General features: G+C 37.7%; 1 protein-coding gene across 10 annotated transcripts in view, besides 3 other annotated features; it reads left to right on the forward strand.

Moving 5' to 3' along the window:
* Positions 1,275 to 1,437: a silencer, noted in NCBI's record as "fragment chr4:95361510-95361672 (GRCh37/hg19 assembly coordinates)". NCBI's record gives its function as "represses an EF-1alpha promoter that drives an FKBP-Casp9 reporter gene in an ReSE screen in HepG2 liver carcinoma cells {active_cell/tissue: HepG2}" and the evidence as "EXISTENCE:reporter gene assay evidence [ECO:0000049][PMID:32094911]".
* Positions 12,508 to 12,927: a silencer, noted in NCBI's record as "silent region_15574". NCBI's record gives its function as "represses an Ori minimal core promoter by ATAC-STARR-seq in GM12878 lymphoblastoid cells {active_cell/tissue: GM12878}" and the evidence as "EXISTENCE:reporter gene assay evidence [ECO:0000049][PMID:35858748]".
* Positions 12,858 to 26,341, forward strand: part of PDLIM5 (PDZ and LIM domain 5) — a 216,282-nt gene continuing 202,798 nt past the window's right edge. For 8 of the 10 annotated variants that reach the window (NM_006457.5, NM_001256426.2, NM_001256427.2 and 5 more), the window contains exons 1-2: positions 12,858 to 12,911; positions 16,163 to 16,300. In NM_006457.5, the coding sequence (NP_006448.5) occupies positions 16,205 to 16,300 (96 nt within the window). In that variant the 5' untranslated portion in view covers positions 12,858 to 12,911; positions 16,163 to 16,204. Of the gene's footprint in view, positions 12,912 to 16,162; positions 16,301 to 16,734; positions 18,101 to 26,341 lie in introns of those variants that run through there. The other 2 variants (NR_046186.2, NM_001256429.2) reach the window with 2 other exon arrangements.
* Positions 13,098 to 13,357: a silencer, noted in NCBI's record as "silent region_15575". NCBI's record gives its function as "represses an Ori minimal core promoter by ATAC-STARR-seq in GM12878 lymphoblastoid cells {active_cell/tissue: GM12878}" and the evidence as "EXISTENCE:reporter gene assay evidence [ECO:0000049][PMID:35858748]".

Genomic DNA, 26,341 nt, shown 5'->3' on the forward strand with positions numbered 1-26,341 from the left:
CATAGTCTTCCAGTCAACTGTCTTGGAACAGACAAGCAGAAGAGGAAGCTATTCTTTACAAATGCGAGAATCAAAATGCGTTGGCAATCAATAAGGGTATAATAAAATGACCTCTAATATTATTCCTTTGGATAAAATTAATTTTTAAGAATTTGTGTCTGTAGAGAGTGATGGGGTTCAAGACACAGTACCCCAGTATATGGCACCTTGGCATTTAAGAAAGCAGCAGAAGCAGGAAGTCTTTCTCCACACTCTTCTCCCATGAAGCAGGCCATAAAAGAATTATCTGACCTTCCTCTGAAGCAGGTTATAAGACCCTTTTGTGAGAGATGCCCTCCCTAAACCTAGAAGAATGTCCTTATCTCTGAAGACACAGGGACACAGAGAAGAATCTGAACAAACTAAGTTTCCCCCAGTTTATTACCATTATATCATACCCCTTTTGTGCAGTCATCCTTCTCTACAACTATCCACTCTTTCATCAAACTTAGCAAAAAAAATACACTGATTTCCCTTTTTCTTTGGTTCTTTATTTCTGAAGGCTCTTGAGTCACATAAAACTTAAATAAATTTGTATGCTTGTTTCTTGACAATTTCCTTTTTGTTACGGGTGTTTCAGCCATATTTTAGCCACTGGTGGGAAAAAAAATCTTTTCTCCTTCAGAACAGGGTGGTTGATCAGGTCAAATTCTTATGAATTGGTGAGGGTTGGGCTAGAAAGGAAGCCACTTAGAACAAATGAAGGAAGTCATGAAACCTCACGGCCTGTTGAAAGCTTCTCATTTATTCCTGTTCACAGTATGAGACAGATCTAATGAAACAGAAATTTTAATACTATAAGAAGTCTTGAATTTGTTTCAATTTTCAACCCTTTGATAAAGAAAAGCTAATATATAATAATAAATTGATAGCATATACATGCACAAAGGAAAGACAGAATCTGTTTTATTAATCTTAGAAACAAATATTAATAGAGTCAACAAGCCTGGAAAAAGATGAAAATGTGTTTTTCTAGTGTTCAACCTGAAAATCTAAGTAAGAACTTTGATTCTTTGGGAAGCCAACCCTTAGAAATTGGGTTACAGGCTAGTCTTTCTTTAACCATCTCAGAAAAAGCAATCAAACAACTGTAGTCTTTTCTCTGAAATCTGGAGAAACAGGAAAAATCTGCATTTGTGTTTTGCCAGTGTTCAAATCTAAATGACCTGAGGTGTGGTAGAAAGCACGCTGGGGAGTCAATAGTTGCTCAGTCGGTTGCTTCCTAACCTTCAGCAAGGGGCCTGGGAGTTTCCCTCAAGAGGGACGACATTAATTTAAAATGCTACTCATGTAGGTAATCTACAACCTTGGAAATGGTATCTCTGGCCGGGCGCGGTGGCTCACGCCTGTAATCCCAGCACTTTGAGAGGCCGAGATGGGCAGATCACGAAGTCAGGAGATGGAGACCATCCTGGCTAACACGGTGAAAACTCGTCTCTACTAAAAATACAAAAAATTAGCCGGGCGTGGTGGCGGGCGCCTGTAGCCCCAACTACTCGGGAGGCTGAGGCAGGAGAATGGCGTGAACCCAGGAGGCGGAGCTTGCAGTGAGCCGAGATCGCGCCACTGCACTCCAGCCTGGGTGACAGAGCGAGACTCCATCTCAAAAAAGAAGAAGAAAAAGAAAAAGAAATAGTATCTCTTCATAATGAGGTGTTTCATTAATAGAAAGGAAAAGAAATAGTATCTCTTCATAATGAGGTGTTTTATTAATAGAAAGAAATAGAAATTAGGCACTCCGACAAGAAAGAGTTTGAAACTAAGCCCTTATTAGTGTTTTCCAACTGCAGCCTGTGGAAGCTGTGTTAGCGGCATCCTAAATCACTTGCTGAAGTCATCACCCTACAAGGGAAGAGTCCATCTGGTTATCCAATGGGATGAGGCTTCTCCTTAACTTCTTGCACCTCCTTTTACTCTGATTCTATACTCACCAAGCAAACTTCTGACCTAAATTTTATTTTTCAATTAGACTTCCCTCCTGTAAGTAAAATGATATGAAGGTTCAGATTGCTTCACAGGTAACCTTTTAGTGTAAATTAACAAATTCAACCTCTGGGTTTTTTTCTTTTCTTTTCTTCTCTTTTCTTTCTTTCTTTTGTTTTGTTTTGTTTTGTTTTGAGACAGAACCTCGCTCTGTCAGCCAGGCTGGAGTGCAGTGTGGTGCCATCTCGGCTCACTGCAACCTCTGCCTCCCCGGCTCAAGCAATTCTCCTGCCTCAGCCTCGCGAGTAGCTGGGATTACAGGTGTGTGCCACCACGCCCGGGTAATTTTTGTATTTTTAGTAGAGACAGGGTTTCACTATGTTGGCCAGGCTGGTCTCAAACTCCTGACCTCAGGTAATCCACCTGCCTCGGCCTCCCAAAGTGCTGGGATTACAGGCATGAGCCACTGCGCCTGGCCACCTCTGGGTTTTTTACAAGCTTCTAGCAAGCTTGATTTTTAACATGAATGAGTCCCTGAACGTCTGTCTATTTAGTAGTTGGACTAATAAAAGTTAATTTCTGAGCATACTCAGTTTTAAACTGATGGAACTTCACCAAGATTTACTTGCCCTAAGAGTTTCCATTTGGAAAAAAAAAAAAAAACCCTGCCAAACATTTTTTTTTTTTTACCAACTTTTGAACTGCAATATGGATGAACTGAAACTCACATTCTTTCATTTAACCTGAAAAATAGTTTGTGAAATCTTGACATGTGTAATACTTATGTTTGTTTAAAATATGTTTAAAACTTTAGTTTAAATTAAAGTAATCCCGGCACTATCACTTGAAGCCAGGAGTCTGAGACCAGCCTGGGCAACATAGTGAGACCTTGTCTCAACAACAAAAAATAAATAAAACAAAAATAGCAGGGTGTGGTGTCCCATGCCTGCAATTCTAGCTACTTTGGAGTCTGAGGTGGGAGGATCGCTTGATCCCAGGAGATCGAGGCTTCAGTGAGTTATGATTGCACCATTGCACTCCAGCCTGGGTGACAGGGCAAGATCCTGTCTCAAAAAAAACAAAACCAAACAACAATAACAAAAACCCAAAAGTAAATTATATTATTGATGGTAATTATTGAGGCTATTCATTATATTATTCTTGAGTGTTCATTATAGTATTCTATTTTGTGTATTTTTGAAAATTTAAAAAGTAAAACCAAAACAAAAAACAAACAACAAGACATACCAGGAGATTTAAAATCCATCTTCAAAGTACTTTCTAAAATGGAGGTAATGTGATTTGTTCTCTGCCTGGATTTTCGGTGTATTTGTCTCCACAACAAGTAAAACTTTAGCTCCAGTTACTTGGGCAATGCTATCAGGTGTCCACCAGTACTGCCTCTGGCTCTGAGTTCTTTCTGTGCCAGAAGGCACTATATTTGGATCTGGGTATAGCAGTTGATACTTTGGCTCCAGTTGTAATGAACCAACTCATTTCTTTTCTAGGAGGGATTGTTACTCATTTGCCCTTGCTAATCATGTTGAAGTGTTTTTAAAGAGGTAGCATTTTTATTTTCCTAGGGGGAATGTGTTTCTGCTGTATTGATGAAAGAATCAGAAGCTGGATTTTTTTTTTTTTTATGCAAGGTCTCGATCCCCTTGTATTTATATATATCCCCAAAATTTATATATATTTCCATCTTTGGGCTAGAAACACTTTAGTGTTACAGGGTCTAAGTTCTAAAATGATGACACACTGATTTAATTGCCACTATATATATACATTTAATAATATGTTTCCAAATAACAAATTTACTAAATAATATAAATTATAAATTAATATAAAACTATATTAAATATAACAAGACAACAAGAATTTGTCAAGGAATCTGACCAGATAAATATAAAGAAAACTAGAAATGTCTTTAGTTTTTTCCCCCCTCTGGAAGATTAAATCTCTTCCAGAGACTTATCGGTCCAATACATGTTTCAATTGATGTTAATTTGGAAAATGTGGTATTTATTTTGCCTATGTTTTTCACAGTACTCTTTTTGTATTTCTTTAACTGGTGTGTTCACAGTGTTTGTTTAAAAAATTATCAAAATTGTCTTTTAACATTTAATATAAGTGATTAAGACTGCTCTATGAAGATTGATTAAGGTGTGTCCATATCAAGTACTCGGTTTAAATTTTAAAATAAAATAAAATTACATAATTAAAATGTCTAATAGTTTGGTTCTACCTAGACCAAACTTGTAAATATTTTATTTTTTAGATTTAATTTGGATGTTTGACTGGTATTAATGGAACAACCATATATATGTCCCCATATTTTCCTTCCTAGAAGAAATTCATAGAGAAAACCAAACATTCTGTGAAGATTTAAATTTGATTTTTCTGCTTTTTCGCATACTGAAAAATAAGTTATTATTATCAAGAGCCCCCTTTCTGTAGGAAAGGCTATAAATCTTAAAAGAAATAAGGGTTTCAGCTTAAACGATTTGAGTAAATATTTTTCACAATGAGATTTAGGGATTTAGCTCCCAATCCTGAAGTGACTTTTATTATAATTAATCATTTTACCTTATTGTAGTTTACCTAATGCTGTGTGTCACTTACGCAAAACATAAAAATAGTCAAGAAAGTTTATGATCCTGAATTAGATCCTGAATCCGCTACTTGGGAGGCTGAGGCAAGAGAATCACTTGAACCCGGGAGGTGGAGGTTGCAGCAAGCTAAGATCGCACCACTGCACTCCAGCCTGGCGACAGAGCAAGACTCCGTCTCAAAAAAAAAGAGAATTCCAGAGATACAAACTTCCATAATATACTCTGTAACAGCAGCCATGTATTTTAGTTAAGTACATACTCATATAGGCAGATTGTCTGGCTTTAAAACCTGCGTCTGCCTATACTAGCTAGATGAACAACTGTGGGCAAGTTACATTAACCCTGTGTCTTCATTTTCTTATCTGAAGAAACTATAATGTAAGTATCTAGGCTGCTGTGAGGATGAAATAAGTCAATATATACGAAGGATTCAAAAGAGTATTTAGCTTTTATTAAATGTTTAATAAGAAATTGTTATAATTCAAAATTCCCATTTGTTCCACAGGTATTTGTTATATGTATATGAATTTTTATAACCAAAGTAAGTGTATATAACAACATTATGTGTATTGATATGTACTAATACTGCTACTCCTAATTTTTAGTTTATTATAAAAGTAAAATATTTTCATAGAAAATTTGGAAAGTATAAAAAGCAAATAGAAGTATAATAAAATGACAGCAAGTTTCACCACCTAGAGGGCAACTATTGATAACATTTATAGTTGCACTTTTTCCATGAATTTTAAAATGTAAGCATTAATGTGTAAAATAATATTTAACTGAAAATGGTTAGATTTTGTTATTCATACCTAGCAAAACTCCTGTTATTTTGTTCATACCTTTAAATTTTGAGAAGAAGCAGGCCTCAAACTTTGGCTAGAGTATTGTTTAGAAAACATTTTGTCATGTGGAATAATCAGATCATGAAAATATTTAGATTCCAGTTTCATATCCCATAGTTTAAAAAATTGTCTTGCTTACTTTCTTCATCTGTTAACTTTTCACAGCTGAGAGAAAGTGGCTTTGAGAATACTCCCAGAATTAATTTTATGAAATTAAATGTTGATAGGTATGTGCATATTGCACAGACTGGCAGAATTTCTTGTGATGTGTAAATTAAATATTATCAGTGGGATAGTCTAGTTTTAGTATATGTTATTGATCCACAATCATTCTTTCATAGTACTTCTTATTTTAGAAACAATTCTATGCTTTAATCAGATTTTTAATGCATTGATTCATCACTCTTAGGACTATATCCCTTACATTTTGGCTAGGAATGACATGCCTTAATGCATTCCACTATGACTATAAATGTGGGTACCTTCCAACCAAAATATTAGTTTCCTTGCTTTCCCAGAGTATATAAATGGATTTTAAAAACACTTAGTAGAGGTGCTATTTTTCGAGTGGAGAGATTTTCCTGTAAATAACGCATGTTAAGATTAGGTTTCTCCAAGGACCTTTCTAATCCAAAATGCCACTTACTTTAAGACCTCATTTGTACATTTGCCTTCTTAATAATTATGTCCTCAAAGCCCTGCTATTGATAGAAAGATCCATGGAAAAGCTTCAGAAATTCTAAATCCAGAAATGAGAAAGACTATCTAATGAATCAGCAAAGATTAGATCAGTAGTTCGGGACCAAAAACCAAACTGAGATTTAAAAGCCAATTAATGGCCAGGCGCACAGTGGCTCACGCTTGTAATCCCAGCACTTTGGGAGGCCAAGGCAGGCAGATCACGAGGTCAAGAGATCAAGACCATCCTGGCCAACGTGGCGAAACCCTGTCTCTACTAAAAATACAAAAATTAGCTGGGCTTGGTGGCACGTGTCTGTAATCCCAGCTACTTGGGAGGCTGAGGCAGGAGAATTGCTTGAACCTGGGAGGTGGAGGTTGCAGTGAGCTGAGATCGCCCCACTGCACTCCAGTCTGGTGGCAAGTGAGACTCCGTCTCAAAAAAAAAATTTTGTGATTCAGAATATTCACAGTTGGTACTAGCTCTTTTATTGGTTAGAAAGTTGATAATGCAAAAAAAAAAAAAGATATTTATTTCAAGATTTTAAATGATGGTGGGTTATACCATACCACTTTAATGAAAATGCTTCTAAAAAATAAAGTGTCTAATTTAAAAAGTCAGCAATTTAAAAAATCCAAAAAGCAAAAATTCCAATATTTTTCCAACATATGAATTTGCTTTTGACATCACTTATATCTTTGGTGCATGATAGACACTAAATAAGAGTGCATAGCATTTTAGTGATTTATGCAAAGGTGTTGATGATTAAAAGAGTCACCTATAATGTGTTAGTCAGGGTCTTGAGAGGAAATCGATGGTATACTCAAATGTGTTTAATTGAAAATAATTTAATAAAGGACTCTGTATAGTGGTATGAGCAGGGTGTCTTCTACTACTACCTTTTATAAGTAAGATCTTTCTAACTGAGCATTATCACAGTGAGCATTCTCCGTGTCCTTTTTTTTTTCACATTTTTCTTAACTCGTTAGTAGAAACATGGAAGGCATTATGATGAGTACATAAAGCTAATGATCTTTTCATTTATCTCTTTTTGGTATCCTAACACAGTGCTTCTCAACTCTTTTCACATCAAGGCAAACTTGGAAACTGGGGAAATGGATGAGGCTTCCAATTCCAGTATGCCCCACCTCCCAGGTTGAGAAGATTAATTTCTTGGCACAATCAACTAATTGGGAAATTCTGCTCCAGGTCCATTTCTTACTTTAATGTTCTTAAAATAGAGTAGTCCCCCCTTATCCATGTTTTCACTTTCTGCAGTTTCAGTTACTCATAGTCAACTGCAGTCCAAAAATATTCCATGGAAAAATTCCATTAGAAAAATTCATGTTTTAAATTGCATGCTGTTCTGCGTAGTGTGATGAAATCTCACACCGTCCTGCTCCATCCCACCCAGGACATGAATCATTCCTTTGTCCAGCATATTCATGCTGCATATACTACCCACCCTGTTAGTCACTTAGCAGCCATCTTGGTTATTAGTTCTACTGTCCCTGTATGGCAGTGCTTATGTTCAAGTAATCCTTATTTTACTTAATAGTGGCCCCAAAGCATAAAAGTAGTGATGCTGGTATTTCGGACATGCCAAAGAGAAACCATAAATCACTTCCTTTGAGTGAAAAGGTGAAAGTTCTTGACTTAATAAGGAAATAAAAAAATTGTATGCTGAAGTTACTAAGATCTATGGTAAGAATGAATCTTCTATCCATGAAATAGTGAATGAAAAAGAAATTCATGCATAGTATATGTAGGGTTAGGTATTATTCTGGTTTCAGGCATCTACGAGGGGTCTTGAAATGTACCTTCTGAATATAATGGAGTAGTTACTGTAATGTCTTCATATAACATATTTTTACAATTATTGACCCACATGTTAGTTTCCATCTCATCTCCAAAATCGCTCCTACATATTCTCTATCCTCTCAACCACTCACCGGACTCCTCAGTGAACTGACTTTATCTGAGTAAAACATCAGACTGACTGAACCTTGATCTTATCATGAGGAATATTCCTCTACTTCTGAAATCTCAAGTTTGGGACTCTCTGATACCTTTTTTCAGTGTCCATCCTATCTATCCTTCTTATTTTTACCCCTCACTAACCAACCAATTGCCTTTTTTTTTCCTTACTAGAAACTGCCAGTAAAATGCATAGTTCCTTGCTCCTCTCCATTCAGTCAATATCAGTTATGAATACCACCCACCAAACTGAGACTTGAATCCCTGAGGCTAGTTTAAACTTTGCCTTCTTCCTCAATTACACATTTTCTCAGTTACCCTAGGCTTCACGGATCTGCTCTTACAGTCTTTCTTTTCCATTATTCCTTTCCACTCTCTCCATGCCTGATTTAGTTCTGCCCTTCTCCCAGGATTCTTTAGTAAACTTTAGAATGACACTGTGCCTTCTATCTTTTCTCCCTAAATTACCAAATGTTTCTTTAGTTATTAGAATAGTTAATGCTTCTTTTCCATTCTAGATTTTAAAATTTAAATGCTCATGAGTGGTTTATTTACCTTCCAGGATTAGGACTTAAAAGATAAATTGACTCAGTAATATAGGAACTTTTAAAAGACTGGCACTTCATAGTTTATTGGGTGCAACTGTAAAAACTTGTCACAGCCATGTCATGTTGTAATTAAGTTTCTGTTATTTTTGAAGTGCTACAAGAGGTTCTGAGTCATAGATTGGATAATAAAATGTTAGAGAAAACATTTATATGCTTAGGTAAATACTGTGTTTAGAGGGACTATTCTTAAAAACTCTTCCTGCTAAGTAAGTTAATCTTTTGATCTCTTTCTCCCCCACCCCCCAACCCAGCTTTTCTTTCCCTGATTATGATAAAATGAAGCTTTTAATATGTTTTCCTTTGTGGTCAGTGCCTCATTACTTAGCCCTATAGAGTTAATGAGGCCAAGGACATTGGTTTGATTTCCCAATGGACCAGTAACTTCTGATCGTCTGTAGTCACAGGCTGTCCTTCAGACCATGGCCAACCATTTCATAAATGTTAGTGATGAGGGAAACAGACAAGGGGAGTCAGAATGGCCCCGTGGCAATTCATTATAAAACAAGTTAAGGCATATGTCCTCCTGAAGTGGCTCAGGAGTTTCATCTTCCCTCATATACAAATTACTCAGCAGTTATTTTATTTCCATAATTTGCTATGGCTTACACCTCTATGGCCCTCAGCAGTGTTAGTTTCGAAAGCATTCCATCTTCCTCAGGTCTTTGGTCTGGATGGCTTACTGAATTTACCAAGAGACAGTGTGTTGCGATGAAAGTAACATGGTTTTTGGAATCAGACCTTTTGCTCTACTACCATCACTGATTAGCTGTGGGCGTGTGCCCTAGGTTAAATGTCTTAATCTCCAAGTTTCTATTTCTTCCTCTGAAAAAAGTCTACTTTATATGGTTGTAAGAATTAAGTAGAATAATGTACATAGGGCACCAAGAACATAGTACTTGGATAATGAAAGTCAAAGTTCTCTACTTGTTTTTTATGATACACAAATAAATCTAATCAATTGGTTAGGAAAGTTTTCATATGGCTACCATTTATTTAATCCTTACTTGGTGCGAAGCATGCTGTGTAATGTTTTATATATATTATCTCTATTCCTCATGATAATCTCACAAGGTTATTTACAATGATCATTTCCTTTAAGATGAGGAAACAGATAAGTTGCTACCATCTGGAATGCATGGTTCTTAACTGAGCACAGTGCACATTAAACCGGAGACATAGCACTATCTCTAGGGAAGTAGTTTTTAAGCACTGCAGTTTAATAATTACCTGGAGGTGGGGAGGGAGTGTTTGTTAAAAAGATTCCAAGGGCTCACCTACAAGGATTCTGAGTCCAGAGGGGATCCAGGAAAATGCAATTTTAACAAGCTATCCGTGTCATTTTGATGCAATCGGTCCTTTTTAGGACACTTGGATAAATATCAGTCTATGCAAGACAACTTAATTTGGTTAATTTACTCTGTAGCCCAGGATTTAAACTGCAGTAGTAGGAGGAGGTTCAGAGACAGGCTAGCAATTATGGGGTAAAGTGGAATTTGCATAAGTAAGCAACAGTCTGCCCATTCTCAACTCTTCCTCATCACCTCAAGAAGCTTATCCTCTAGTGATAACTCCATAGGCTATCTGCAGTTGATGTCTTTAAATTAATCTTTGTTGATCCAGGATCAATTTAACTGTATCAACAGCAAACAGATGAGAAGGGGCAGAGTTGGGACTCCTAGAGGTTAACTCGAGCCATGGCCCTGTGGAACTGGCAGAAGCTGTAATTGCTTGCGACCTATTATCTATAAATGAGGATGACATTCATTTTATAAAGTTCTTGTAAGGACTACCACACTGCATAGCACATGGTAGGTATTTGCTAATGGTAGCTATTGTTATTTTTTTTTTATTTTTGGGTGAGATGTCAAACATGATAACATATATTAGACTCTCTAAACCAGCTTTCACACTAGGAAACACTTTCCCCCAAAGCCATCTTTTGAAAAATGTGGTGAAAGCTATGGACTGGTGCTGTCCAATGAAAATATAATGTGAAGCACATATGTAATTTTATTTATTTATTTTTTTAGAAACAGGGTCTTCCTTTGTCACCCAGGCTGGAGTGCAAAGACAAGATCATAGTTCACTGCAGCCTCGAACTTCTGGGCTCAGCAATACAAATAGCTGGGACCTGGGACTACAGGCACACTACACGACGCCCAGCTAATTTTTTGGATTTTTTTAGAGATGGGTCTTGCTATGTTGCCTAGGTTAACCTCAAACTCCTGCCCTCAAGCCATCTTCTCACCTCAGCCTCCCAAGTGCTAGGATTATAGGTGTCAGCCACTGCACCCTGCTCACGTAAGTAATTTTAAATTATCTAGTGGCCACATTTTTTTTAAAAAGTGAAATTAATTTTAATCAAATATTATTATTATTACTCTTTTTTTTTTGGTGCGGAGTCTTGCTCTGTCGCCCAGGCTGGAGGGCAGTGGCATGGTCTCGGCTCACTGCAACCTCTACCTCCCGGGTTCAAGTGATTCTCCTGCCTCAGCCTCCCAAGTAGCTGGGATAACAGGCATGCGCCACCACACCCGGCTAATTTTTGTATTTTTAGTAGAGACGGGGTTTCGCCATGTTGGCCAGGCTGATCTTGAACTACTGACCTCAGGTGACCCACCCGCTTCAGCCTCCCAAAGTGCTGGGATTATAGGCGTGAGCCGTCGCGCCCGGCCATAATCATGTATCATTTAACAAAACATAAAATATGATGATTTCAGCATATAATCAATATAAAAATTATTGAGGCATTTTACATTATTTTTTCATACCAAGTCGTCGAAATCCAGTGTGCATTTTACACTTCCAACGCATTTCAATTTGGGCATTATATTTTCAACTTTAGTCCTTAAATGTAGTGCTTAAAAGAAATGTTAACGACCTGGCGCGGTGGCTCATGCCCGTAATCCCAGCACTTTGCGGGGCCGAGGCGGGTTGGTCACCTGAGGTCAGGAGTTCGAGATCAGGCTGGCCAACATGGTGAAACCCCATCTCTACTAAAAATACAAAAAATTAGCCGGGCGTGGTGGCGCACGCCTGTAATCCCAGCTACTCAGGAGGCTGAGGCAGGGGAATCGCTTGAACCCGGGAGGTGGAGGTTGCAGTGAGCCGAGATTGCACCACTGATCCCAGCCTGGGAGACAGAGCAAGAATCCGTCTCAAAGAAAAAAAAAGTAAAGAAATGTTATCCTGCTTCAGTTTTAAATGTTAAATTATTTAAAATTACGTAAAACAAAAAATTCATGGTCTCAGTTACAGTAGCCACATTTCAACTGTTCGATAGCCACATGTGGCCAGTGGCTACCGTTAGGGAAAGAGCAGCTTTGGATCTTCGCCTTTGGAATTTTGCTTGCACTTCTGGGGGCCGGGGAGCTCACGGACCTCATGAAGTTCATCCTTGCTTTATATGCTCCTTGGTTAAGAATTGTCCTTTTCACGTTTTATAAGCCAATTCACAGTGTAACAGTCTAGTTACTTTCCGTATGTTCAGTGAACATTATTCACGTTTTCTTATGAATAAATTCCTCGGGCGTATCAAGCAACCCTATAGAAGGCTGGAAAGTGGACTATTGATTTGGATTTAGAAAAATAAACTGAAGATACAGTGGTTGAATCACTTTTGGCCGCTTTTATGTATCACTGTCTTCTGGTGTGATGGACAGGGTTAACTTCTGTTAGGGTTACTGGTTTTCACCTTCCTGACAGGTAAACTTCTGGGTCTGCACTTTTCAGAGCATGTAAAGCTCTTTCAAAAAAAAAAACGCAGGCAGTAACCGCTGAACTTGCATAGATAGAGATTTATCCAAAGTACCCTTCTATTTTTAGGCAGAGCAACTGCTTGCCAATTTAAATTTCTGGAGAGAAAAATGCACCCACTACAAAACGGACGAGCGGAGGGTTAGACCTTTGCCAGGTAGCGCTCAAAATCCGCTAAGACTACTCCCACCGAAACTCGGTAGCGCAGTTGTCTTTCCGCAGCTGCTTCAGCCAGCCCCAGCAAGCCCGAGCGCCCGGCGCCGCCGCCACCTTCCCCGCCCCTGCGCGGCGCGGCTGGGACTGGCCCAGAGGCGTGGCCGGGAGCGGAGGGGCGTGTCCTGGGTCGGGGGTGGGGCGAGGGAGAGCCAGGAGGCGGAAGTTCCCGCGGGCGGTGGGGACGGCGCCCTCACCGCGAGTCACTTGTCAGCCCTTGTCTGAGGCGGAGGCAGCCCCGCGCCGCGCCGGACCCGAGGTGAGTGGCGGCCGGCCGGCGATGCGCCTCTCGGATCTCCGGTGGGAGAAGGGAAAGAACCGGCCGCTGTGCGCCGAACGCGAGAAGGGAAGCCCGGTTGGGGACGAGGAGGGGGCGCTCCTCGGGCAGGGATGGCTCCTCAGGTGCTTTCTGGGCGCGGAGCGGCGGAGGTGGGAGAGCAGCTTGGGAAAAGGAGCGCCCGGAAAAGGGCAGCGCTGGAGTCCGCATGAGGCCAGAGGGCGAGCCCTGGGGTCCCCGCAGCCCGGGCCGACCGGGACCAGCGTAGCGGAGACGGGGACGCGGGAGGGCGCCCGGAGGTGGCGAGGGCCGGCAGGGACGGGCACTGCCGCTCCCACCCACCCGGCTGCCGGCGTCGCCCGGCACCACCGTGGTGTGGTGTCTGAGTGCCCAGTCCTGCGCCAGTCTCTTGGAGGGTAGGAAGCGGGACTCAAAGGAAAAGGCGCGTTAGTTTTTCTTTGCTCCCAGGCTACTGAGAAGCATTTATTTCTCCCCCAGATATTTACAGTTTTGTGTAACCTGTTTGGGGAAAACTTCTGCGCGTCCAGAAATAAAGCTCGTTTAAGAAACACATTTGTCATGAACACGAGATTTGTTAACACTTGAGTACTTGTTGGGGCTTTTGTAAGACTGTGCCTTCGGTGCGTTTTACAATAAGTGGAAAAAGGAAGGGCGTGTGGACAGGGCAGAGCTTGGAAGGAAAATTCGTGGCGGCGCTGGGCAGGGCAGATTTAGGGTGTGATCGCCAGATCCTATCCCAAGTCCGCCTTCCTGACGGGGAGGACGTCTGAACCCGCCTGCCACGGAAACGGCCCGTTCGGTAGCCTTATTTGGCCAACAAGGCTAGGCGCGAATCCCTCCTGGAAAACTGTCCTGTCGGCTGCTTTCATCCTGTGCCTGTGGCTTTAGTTCTTCAGCTCTACCTACATTCTCTCTCCATTGCGGGGAAAGAGAATCTCAAGATATTTCTCTTTAATTTCAGGCCTTTTTTTTTGTCACTCTGTGTAGTTCATCTTGAGTTCTCCTTTCTCCCCTCTCACCCACTAATGAAGCTGAGATACAAGTGTGGGAAATACCAAGCTTCCTTCCCTAGTACTAGAGCAAAGACATTGTTTAGACTTTCCCTAAAAGAAAATCCATAACTCTACAGAAATTCCAACCTTTTCGACGTGTTTGAAAGAGTATGCTGCTATTTCCTGCCTGCTTGGTATTTGAGGAAGGGCTTGGGCACTAATAACCAGATGGAGGAGTCTTGGAAAGGCCAATAAAAATATTGCCATTGCTTGGGGCAGAGACTGTTTTAAGGCAGATGAATTCCAAATGAAGCTAGCAGAAGAAGCATCTAGAAATGAACGGACAGTGACTAGAAATGAAATGACACTGGTTTTGTAGTGTGGCTGTGACCTTGCCAGTGCTAGGAATTTTAATAACAAATGAGAGAAGTTAGGAAGGGAATCCCCAAGTAAAGGGAAGTTGCAAGTACATGGGTTGATAATCTAAATGAAATACATTTTCTTGTAGGGAAGAATGGGGCCAGAGGAAGTTGAGCCCAACTTTCATATTATTCCCCAGACACAAGTTAAAGATTAATAAAGGAGGGCAGGCTGCCTGTGAAATATCAGTTGGCTTTACACGATTCTGATTTGTATCGTGTCAATATCAGGACAGTCCTTCTATTAGTTTTCTGAAAATCTCCTCCTTTTATAGCGGGAAAGCAATTGAATTATGTGTGGCTCGTTATTAGCTTCCCACTAGTAGTTTTTCACCTATATATACAGTTTGACTTCCGGCTTGGCCTTTGGATCTTTTTTAGTGCTCTGTGCCTATTACTTCATTACTGAAGTAATGTGTTATTGCCTTGTAGTTCAGTATACTACCACGCCAGTAGAAAAGCTGTTTCGGTTTCTGATACAATTTTCTGTAATTTTTATTTTCCCTGATATAATTTTTCTTTAAAAACCAGGCTTATTTGAATGTTTTGCCCCATTTTCCCTTTATGAGAAGAAGGAATGTTTGCTTTAAATATACCTATGGCTCAAATATCTATATCTGCAACTATGAATTTGGGGTGATGGGCTAGAAATTTTGAATGGGTTAAAACATATTTTAAGACAGGTAATATTAGGTGGTGATTTGGTTGAATAGCTTACATTTTCCAAGGAAGTATGTTTTTAATATAAAATTACATATCTGTTATGTTTTTAATATTTTTTAAAGAGAGAGAATTATTGTTTCTTAGTATTCCATTAAAACAAAAGAAAACTTCATTCCTCTGTCTCCTGCCGTTATAACAACCAATAGGAAACTCGAAGTTTTTTTTTTTTTTTTTGCTTTTTAAAAATTATATGAAAGTACTACTAGGAGAGTCATCACACGCACACTTAACAGCAGAACAGACAAAAGAAAGCACCGAAGCACTGGTTCTTTTCTAAACTGCCAATTCCATTTGAATGCATTAACCCAGCACTTTTGCTGTATTTAGTCATAATCTTATTCACTGAGTGGCAAATGCTTACTCTCTGCCTGGTGAGGTGTGTGTATAAAACAAAAAGCAGGTTGTGACTAACATCACTGTACTAGAGTATTGCCTATCGTTGACTATCTGAAGGAAAAGTAGATATCACTTTAAGTGTGGAAAATACCATGTCCCCATAGGAGGAAATACAAGTTGTAGTTCATGATTGGAGAGAATAGTTTTGTGCATTGAAAAACAGCTTCTCATTGTAAAGAATTTAGTATTTGGAAAGCATGAATGGGAGCCTACTGATTTGCAGTCTCTTTCACATGTTAGAGTAACTTAGAATTTAAGTAAGTGCAGTTGAAAGACTCTTGTCAATTGCAGACAAAAGAATACATGAAGTGGAGGGAAGGAGAAAATTATTCTGAATTCAACCTGAAATAAAATCTTGCTACATTAGTGAAGTATTGTAAAGTACTTTGAGTTAAACTTTGCATGCAAGAAGCCACAAAATTGGATTGAAGCAAGTTGTGAAACATACTAAGTGTCTAGAAATGTATTCTGATATGGAATTTTTAGACCATGGAAATTGCCATGAGTGTAGAAAATTTATATTAGCTCACAGATTGCTTTTCTTAAACTGAAATTAATGAAGAACTTAATTAAGACTTATCTTCTATATCCTCTCACCCCCCTCAAACAAAATACTAAACATAATTTATGTTCTAGGGTTTCAAGTAAACATTTTTGCTAATCATCTGATTTTCTTTCACAGCATATTTCATTTTCTGTCATTGGACTTTGAGCCATTAGAACCATGAGCAACTACAGTGTGTCACTGGTTGGCCCAGCTCCTTGGGGTTTCCGGCTGCAGGGCGGTAAGGATTTCAACATGCCTCTGACAATCTCTAGTGTAAGTAAACTTTACAAATTTTATTATAGATGTTCATTCAGTGCTTAGTCCTCGGGCTGAGTTGTTTAATTCTCTGTTGACCTGTACTCTACTTATTATCATTGCTCCTGGGATTTGATCTTGGCAAATTTGATTATCTATAATAAAGGATGAGGGGAGTAGATTTAGCAAGGATAACTGACTTCAATTTAACTTCTTTTCGTTTTCCCCCATGTTATCAATAATAAAATGGAAAAAGCATTTAACTAGGAACAGACTGTACATTTTTGAACTGTCCCTAATTTGGGGAATTCTCTGAATCTTCGTTCTTTCATATATAATTTTCAAAGGTTGTGCTATGGGATTTTAATAATCTCTTTCAGTTCCAAAAGCTGTTTGTTAAAAACTGTTGATCAAAATTGAATAAAATGATTGTTTCGGAATTATTTCCTCAGCTCACTTTCTGGTGGAGGTGATAGCCAACAGTAAGATGGCCAAAAGCTACTTACCCTTGAAGAGGAAATGAAGGGCTTGGAGCTCCAACTAGATAGCCTATGAATAATTGAGATTTGGCTTTTTACCTCATTATGGATTTAGTTTGAATGTATTCTGTGTATATATTTTAAGGATATGTTTTCATGATGATGATGATAGCACTGATGAGAGGAGTAATTAAAGCTTCTATTTATTGAGACTTGACTATATGTCAGGTACTGTTTCACTTTCATCACCAGTAGGTAATTATTACTATTATATAAGTTTCTAAAAGGTTTGTTTTTGCATATTCAAATAAATATGAATTTCCATCTTCTTTTACTCAAATGGTGGCATATTATACACACAGTTTTTTTTGAGACAGAGTTTTGTTCTTGTTGCCCAGGCTGGAGTGCAGTGGCGCAATCTCGGCTCACCACAACCTCCATCTCCCGAGTTCAAGCGATTCTCCTGCCTCAGCCTCCCGAGTAGCTGGGATTACAGGCATGTGCCACCACGCCTGGCTAATTTTGTATTTTTAGTAGAGACCAAGTTTCCCTATGTTGGTCAGGCTGGTCTTGAACTCCCGACCTCAGGTGATCTGCCCACCTCGGCCTCCCAAAGTGCTAAGATTACAGGCGTGAGCCACCGTGCCTGGCCCACACTGTTTTATACTTTGCTTTTTTTTGCAACAATTTACCCTGAGATCATTCTCTATTAATATATAAGGAGGTATGTGTGTTTTTTTAAAACAATTGTATAATTTTATTTTATAAGGAAAGTGACATTTAACCAATCCCCTACTGAAGAGTATTTGTGGCATTTCCATATTACTGTTACAGTGGTACAGTGAATACCAAATATAAGTACATACATATATATGTGAATATATGTATCTACGTCATTTTGAAAGGTTGTGCCAATTTACACTTTTGTGCAACGCATGAAAATACTATTTTTGTGCCAGTCTTACCAACAAACTTGGATATTTATCAAGTGCTGTGAATGCATCATCTCATTTAATTATCATACCAACATGCAAAATAGTGATATTATTCCCATTGTATATAACTGTGCTGTGCGCTCACATGACTGTATGGAAGAGCTGGCTTTCCAACAGTTATGCTGTGCTGCCTCTTTAATAATTCACTTTACCTTAAATTTAGTTAGTTGTTTCTTTAATCAGATATTTAGAAGATTGTCATTTTGGTTAATAATATATGTGTATGTATAAATATATATACACACACATACTCTGCATCTTGTATGTGTATCCAACTTCATTTTGAAAGATTAAAAATAAGTTTGTAACGCCTAAATATCCTTATTAAAATACTGCAAATCCCATTTTACTAACGGAGTCTCCTTTGTTTCTTGGCTGTGGATTTTTTTAAAGTTATCTTTAATTTATCATCAATTTCTGCCTTGATTTCAGTTAATTAGATTTTATAAGGAAGTATATATATGTAATCCAGCCTGCAAGTTTTAACACCTTTCATGGTTAGATGAAATTTTAAATGTAAAGCATCCATGTGAAAATGTGTCATGTGATTTATTCCTGTTTGAGTGAGTTGGTATTTTATTTCTTCTACTGATGATCTATTATGGGAACAGGAGCAATCTTTGAGTATTATTGGTTTTTACGTTTTGTTAGCATTTTATATTTTAAATATTCTACTTTAATTATCTAAAGAAAGTTATTAGTTTAAATGCTTACTTTTTTGCTGAAAAAAAGTTCAGAAACAAATTGACACCTAAATGAGCCAAACTTAATTATCACTTTGTTGTGTGGTAATAGAAATGCAAATAGAGTATGTTTGCGAATTTTGTGGTACCGTGTCTTTAAAAAAGTTTCATGTGCTTCAGTTTCCTGGCAGACAGTTTGAGGTACTAGCTCCATGTTGTGATGCTGATACAACAGAACACTGTGTACATACATATGTGCCCTCCCCTGGCACAGAAGAAATGCTTTCCTTGTGTAGACAGAGTGCTAATTAAAGGATTTTGAACATACTGATTAAAAGAGACTATGGTAACAAAGCTGCTGAGTTATTTCTGTTCTCTTACAAAAGTCTCTGCCATCTACTGTGACCTTTTTGGGCCTTGTGCAGTGGGGCATGCAATTCATTCTGGACTGGAGAGGATTGGAAGGGGAGGGGAAGGAGAGAAGGGAATGTTGGCTCAATCGGGCTGCTAGGCTCTTGGCCTTTCATTGTAGTTATTTTTAACCCCTTGTGTGGTTTAAATATGCCTAGTAACATTGCCTAATAAAGGTTTGCGTTTAATAACTAATTTATATTGTGGTAAGATTGTTAATGTTATAAATTTTTAACTTACTCTCATCTTAATTAGTTCTTTGGTTATACTTTTTCTGCCTTAATTATGTAAAATTACTGGGATATTACTGGTCATCAGGTTCTTTAATTAATAGTATCAAGAAACAATTAAAACCTGAAAGCATGCTTAAAACATGTAATTTAATGATTCACTTACTTTAATAATGCACATGAAATTCTTAGCAAGGTCTGGCAGTCTCTCAATTATCTTTTATAATAATATTATAAACTTTAAAAAGAAAACTATTTAGAGACTTGAAACATTAAATATTTAACCCCCGTAGTTGTAGGGAACATACAGTTATGGTTTTGTTTTGTTTTTTTAAACTTATTGTCCACTGAAATTAAGAAAGGAAAAAAAATCAGAAGTTTGTACTTAGCTGGGAATCTGCATCTTTAGAGTTCAAAACTGTGCAATTTTTCCTCTGATTAGGTATTATTATGTTGAACTCCAAAGGGTCATTTACATTCCTTTATAACACTGGAGCTCTGGTGTATCGAATTGTGTTATGAGATAAGCCACTAGCAGGGACTTGAACATTCCATTTTCTTTAGATTTTGTTGTATCAGCATGTGAATATGCTGAATACAACTTGTATCCTAAAGCATACAAGCTATAACATTTTCACGTTGGACTCAAATTTCTTCATCATCTGTATTGTATGAATTTTGTATACTGTTTTGTTGGTGGATTTCTAACATAAGATTGCCAGTTCCTGCTAGCTTTTTAAAAAGATCCTCAGGTTGCTGTAGCTGGATGATCACATGTCATTTAATTTCCGATCCTTAAAATGGAGTGCGGGCTACCTAAGTTTGCAGGCTGTCTTTTTATGATCCTGTGTTTATGGAATTGCCCTGAAGCCATGGAATGTGAGGATGGGTTTCATTGTAGCAGTGTGGGTTTGTTGGTTTTTGCCAGTATATTTTATAACAAGAAATAGGAGACTTGTTGGATAATTCAAGGCTATATTTTGGCCAGTTGATAAAGATTATATATTTGTGAGTAACATCTTTTAAGTTGTTATATCCTAAAGTTGAAATACTCTGCTGTGTGTTACTTTCTCATTATGTTTGGGCTCTTTTCTTCACTGTCAATATTTGGATTACCTGAAGATGATATCCCAATTCTCTGTAAACACATTTTAGATGTTTCTTTAAGAGATAAGAATTAGGTCAAACTTTTTAACATCTAAATAACAATGACTTTGATTCTCAAGAGTTAGGGGAGGATAAATTGTTATAAGCTTGGACAAAATTCTAATTGGATTTGAAAAGCAGAAGAAACTTACTATTGCTTGGATTATGGAGCCCTGTTTGGGAGTCTAACACAGAACAGAGAAGGACAGAATTGTGAAACACTTTGCTATGAATTCATTGATTCAGTAGTTATAGTAATACTTCCTAGAAGCCACTGAAGAAGATACAAAGTGGGGAGTACAAAGGTTGGATGGAAAAGAAATAAGCACAGTGCTATAGAACTAGACAGTGTCGTAAGACCTGTCACAAGTCAATATTCTATGAAATGACAGATTCTGATAAGTGTTTCTCAGTTTCAGTGGGTGTAAATCTTTTGTTTGTGGGGGTTGGTTTCCTTTAGGAGAAGTTAATTGAACTGATCCTCAAAGGATGAAATTTAAACACCTCAAAGTCAGCATTTCTCCGTGTTGTCCAGTGCCTAGTGAAGATGAAGACTTTTCTTGCCATTGCTTGACTCCAAGTAAAGCTGTGAATGTAGTTGAGCGATTCTCCAGACCTGCCAGCTGCAGTTTCCCTCCTACCGGAAGACAGAAAGACTTTCAGTCCTCAAGCTGAAATGAGAGAGCCATCCTACCTTGAATAAATGGGCCCATTGTTAATTTTAAGCTCTTGAGTATTTTCTTTTATATTCCCTCCAAGCTACCCTGTCATTATGCCAAGTTAGAAAATTAATTTAGTTTGTATAACTATATGATGTATATTTCACATGTGTGTTCACTCTGCTTTAAAAATATTAATTACCTTTTGTGTGAAGTTCAGAGACCTGTCTTTTCCCATGTGGCAGTTTTATATGTTTTGTGGTCACAAATGTCAGGAATCTCAATGTAATTCTGGATAAATTTTTCTGCTCTATGATTTGTAAAGAAATGAAAATCTTATATTTTTTAATTGAAAATTAGTAGTTTTAGAAAAAAACGCACTTATTTGATTTTAGTAAACGTTGGGCATTTTGAAAAGTTATTCAGAGAAATGTTACTGGTAGGCAGGACTTTTGTATCTGATGGAGGAAACCGATGTAGGGTTTGGATAAAATAAGACTAGCAGGCTGGGCACAGTGGCTCACTCCTGTAGTCTCAGCATTTTGGGAGGACAAGGTGGGAGGATCACTTGATACCAAGAGTTCAAGGTTACAGTGGGCTGTAGTCATGCCACTGTACTCCAGTCTGTGCCACAGAACCAGACCCTGTCTCAAAAAAAAAAAAGAAAAAAAAAAAGGTAAGAATAGCACTTTAGACCTTGGGAAAGAACGTTTTCATGTAACTATTCATCTACTCGTGAGTTAGGTATATCTACCTACTTAAACTAAGAATAGATAGATAATAGATAATGTACAGCTGTATATTGGAATGACTTGGATTTAAATCTTAGCTGGAAAATCAGTTCATTAATTTGAGCTTCTGATTTTCTTTGATGTATGGGAAATGCTTTATAAATTAAAAAGTATACAGGTAGATTTGATTATTATTAATAATTTGGAGCCTGTGAGCTTTCAATTTTTTTTAGAACTTCTGAGGCAAAGAGCTTTTCTTTATGATAGTTGCTAGTCACACTACATGTGAATACACAGTTGAACAGTGGTCTTTGTCTATGACATCCTGTTAGCAGTAGTTCTTACCCAGATTCCCATATACCACAGGACCAGTTATATCTTTTTCCCCCAGTTACAACTGTATTGAGGACAAATCAGTTATGATTTAGTTATTTCTAGAAGCAAACGTTGCTTTAGACAAAAAAGGAGTTATTTAGCATCGTATGAGAGAGAATTATGTTTCAACTTTGGCAGATGAGACTCTAGGCCTTTATTTCAGTATCTGAGATGCAAAAAATATTGAGTACGTGACATAAAATTTGACAAAACTAGATATTAGCATGTGAAATAACAATATGTGGATCTGTTTGCAAATAAATGACCTAATGGAAATGAAAAGAGAAAACATTAAGTAACTAAAGAGCAGTGACCATGGTGTCTACTGATTCTTTAGGTATTCTATGTGTTGGGCCACTATATAGTCTTGTTGAGAAGGCAGGTTTGGTTCCTTAATTAACAGAGAGGGAAAAATCACTTTTCTAGCGTACTTTGTTTTTATTAAGAGGTTTTTTTTTTAAAGGTAATAAACTAAGAATGGACAAAGCAGAGAATATTGAATGAGTATCCCCTTATTCCTTCACCTTTCTTATTTTTTTGTTTCCTGTTTAAGTATAGTTATCTACCCTTCTGTAAATACTCAGATTTCTTTTATAGCTGATGTTGTCACCCATTTTTTATGACAATTACTAGAACAGAGTTCACCAACCTTGTTGGCATTTAGTAACTGGACTCCCAACTGGGCTAAGCAGTTGTAGTAAATGTCCCTAATAGGCGTAAATAGAGGAGAGTAAAATGAACTGGAAATGTTAATAGGAGGGAATGAGAAAGAAAAAGTTAGATGAGAGAAAAAAATAAAGAGGACTTTTTAAAAGGCTGCAGCGTGTCACCCAGGCGGGAGTGCAGTGGCGCGATCTCGGCTCACTGCAACCTCCACCTCCTGGGTTCAAGCAGTTCTCTGCCTCAGCCTCTTGAGTAGCTGGGATTACAAGCATTCGCCACCATGCCCAGCTAATTTTTTTGTATTTGTGGTAGAGACAGAGTTTCACCATGTTGGCCAGTCTGGTCTCGAACTCCTGACCTTTGATCCAGCCACCTCAGCCTCCCAAAGTGCTGGGATTACAGGCGTGAGCCACTGCACCCAGCTTAATTTTCTTTAGGTAAGACATTCATATGGTTCAAAATTCAAAAGATACACGAGCGTATAGGGGGAAATGTCTCCTGGTGCCCTGCTGTTCATTTCCTCCTCCTGGAAGCCACCTGTGTTAGTAGTATACTTCCAGAGATAATCTATAGGTATATCTCCTCCCCACCCTCCTTTTAACACAAATAGTATGCTTAATAGAAATACTTTTTTTTTTGGCATTTTGTTCACTTAACCCAACATCAGTAAATATATCTTCATTCTTCATTCCTTTTTTACCACTACACTGTGTTTGGATTTGTCATAATTTTTTAAATCAGTTCCTATTGATAGACAATTAGATTTTTTTCTAGTCTTATGCTTTTACTGACACTGCAGTGTAAGTTTTGCCCATATATGTATATATATATGTGTAGACATTTAAATTTTTTCTAGTCTTTTGCTTTTACTGACATTGAATTTAAGTTTTGCCTATATATGTGTATATGTTTGTATATTTGTATATTTGTCACATAAATTCCTAGAAATGGAATTGATGAGTCAGAGGGTGTATGCATTTGTAATTTTGACTGATATTGCCGTCTTTATAGAGACACTCCTGCTCATAATATGAGGATGCCTATTTCCCCATACCTATGCTAGCCTAAGTTTCAACAGACCTTGATCATTTCCAATCAGATGGGCCAGTTTCCACCTGTCTTCTTTTTACAGGGCTCAGTCACAAGTATTTTACAAAGGATTTTCTGTGTTTTCAAGTGGTTTGTTTTCCATTTTGCAAGATAATCTAGGAAATAAAAACATGCTGCTCTTCTTTAAATGATACCATTAATTTCTTAAAGATGCCATTTTCTGAATTCTTTCGTCCAGAGCTTTTGTTAGTAATTATCTCCATCATTTGTTTCCCATTTCTAAACTAACTTCCTCTCTATCTTAACCTATTACTCCCAGTTACATGGCAAAAGATTTTGTGTTTTTGGCATAGTGCCCTGTCATAGACTTTTTGGAAAATTAAGCAAATCACATTTAATAGATTCAAAGTTGTTAACTTTGGAATCTGTTCAGTAGGCTGATATACAATCAACCCTTGAACAAAACAGGGTTTAGGGGCACCAACCCCCTGTGCAGTCAAAAATCCATGTGTAACTTTTGACTCCCCCAAAACTTAGCTACTGATAGCCTACTGTTGATCAGAAGCCTTACCCATAATATAAACAATTGATTAATGCATATTTTGTATGTTATAATATTAAATACTGTATTCTTAGAATAAAATAAGCTAGAGAAAACATTTAAAAATAAGGAAGAGAAAATATATTTACTGTTCATTAAGTGGAAGGGAGTCATCATAAAGGACTTCATTCTTGTCATCTTCACTTTGAGTAGGCTGAGAAAGAGGAGGAAGAGGAAGGGTTGGTCTTGCTGTCTCAGGGTGTGCCAGGTAGGTTAGGTGGAGGTGGAAGGGAAGCAGGAGAAAGCAGGAGAGTTGGGCACACTTGGTGTAACTTTTATTGAAAAAAATCTGTCTGTAAGTAGACCCGTGCAGTTCAAACCTGTGTTGTTCAAGGGTCAACTGTATGTGTGGTTTTGAATTCTAGTCTTTAGCTCCTTTTAAATGATGTGACAAGGAGACTGACCATTATGAGGTGTTCACTATGGTCCGAGGAATGGCAAATTTCACCCTTATGAGACTCAGTGTGTTTTTATTATCAACCTTTATTAGCTAATGGAAGTTAACTGAAATCAGGTAGGTTTATAGAGTGTTCTGTAGCATAGTGAGTCAGGCATTGTGAAGGTATACTAATGTGTGGCACAAGGTAGTTACTCATTTTAGCCTAGTGTGAGCAGCAGAGTGTATGTGTTGGTAACTATAGTAACAAAAAGAGTAAGGATGCCAGGGATATTTATATTTTTTTGTAGTAAAGATGAGGAAAGGAGGAATTTCTCTTTAGTGTGTTGCTGTAAATGTTAAATATGATGAGAAGAGTTTTGAATTAGAGAAGAATTTGCAACACTTGTTATTTGGATTCTGTGAATTGTTAAACATTTTTTTCCCCAAGGTCCAGAGATTGATTTAACAATGGCCACTGTACTTCATGATAATTGTCCTGGCTAAATTTTAATTGAAGAAAAGAGAAAGTAGTTACGGTAATGACATTAACAATTTAATGCTGTTTACCATTGATTGGATCAGGGATTTAAGTGTTGTGATTCAGTTCCATTGAGATCTAATTAACAGCCCAGTATTTTTCAAATGATTTCTGGGATATTAACTTTTGGAAGTGGTAGAATTAAGAGATTTAGTAAGGCTGTATAACACTAGCCAGAGCAGACTATGTTCTGAAAGTATGTTTGTTCTGAAAGTATTTTTCTTCTGAGAAAACGTTACCGGAGGACAGATGTCCTTTAGAAAACAAATGTTTTGTCCCTTAACTAGGACCCCTTAGAAATGTTCTGGAGAAAGAAATTATATCTAGCTAGCTAGCTATCGTGTTACACATATAATTTCCATGATTTTGGTCATTCCTTTGAAGTATCTTTATGCTACTCACTTGCAAATATCCTACAAATGGTTGTTTTGATCTTTTTAGGGTAGACGTTTCTGTTTTGTTTAAATGTACCTCTGTCTATTCTGGAAGATTCTGGTTATTTGGTGTCCAGTTCTCTGAGTGATTCTTTGCTATTTTAGCAGACAAAAGTATTTCCAAAATTCATCAATGGCTTATTCTCCTTCAGGCTGGTTCCTTATCCTCAGGCTAGCATCTTGACTAGGCAATAATTTTAGAAACTTATATTTAATATATTACTGCCTTATTTAAGAACTGTATGAGCTTCCCATTATCTTTTGAATTATTACTTAATTTCTCTGGTTGGTTTTCAAGTTGCATATAAATGGGCCCGTTTAATATAACTTGAGTTTATAGTCCAAAATGCCAATTTTGAACCCTGAAGTTCTTAGTCTTTTTATTCTTTTTGCATACTACTTTTGTTTATTCTTATCATCCCTAAAGCCCTATCTCTTCCTCTAGGAACATTCATGTATCCTTTGCTCTCTGAAATGTTTGACTATTCCAGTTCAATTCGGTCTCCTTTCTTTCCTGTATTAAATAATAATGATAATAATGAAAATATGCTAACGTTTATTGATCCCTTGTTACTGTTTGGGTCCTGTTCTAGATGTTTTGTACATGTTCGATTATTTAATTCTCATAACAGCCCCATGGGGAAGTGTGATTTTATTTTATTTTAGTTTTATTTTTTTGAGATGG

Source organism: Homo sapiens, chromosome 4, assembly GCF_000001405.40.
Source record: "Homo sapiens chromosome 4, GRCh38.p14 Primary Assembly".
NCBI classification, from domain to species: Eukaryota; Metazoa; Chordata; class Mammalia; order Primates; family Hominidae; genus Homo; species Homo sapiens.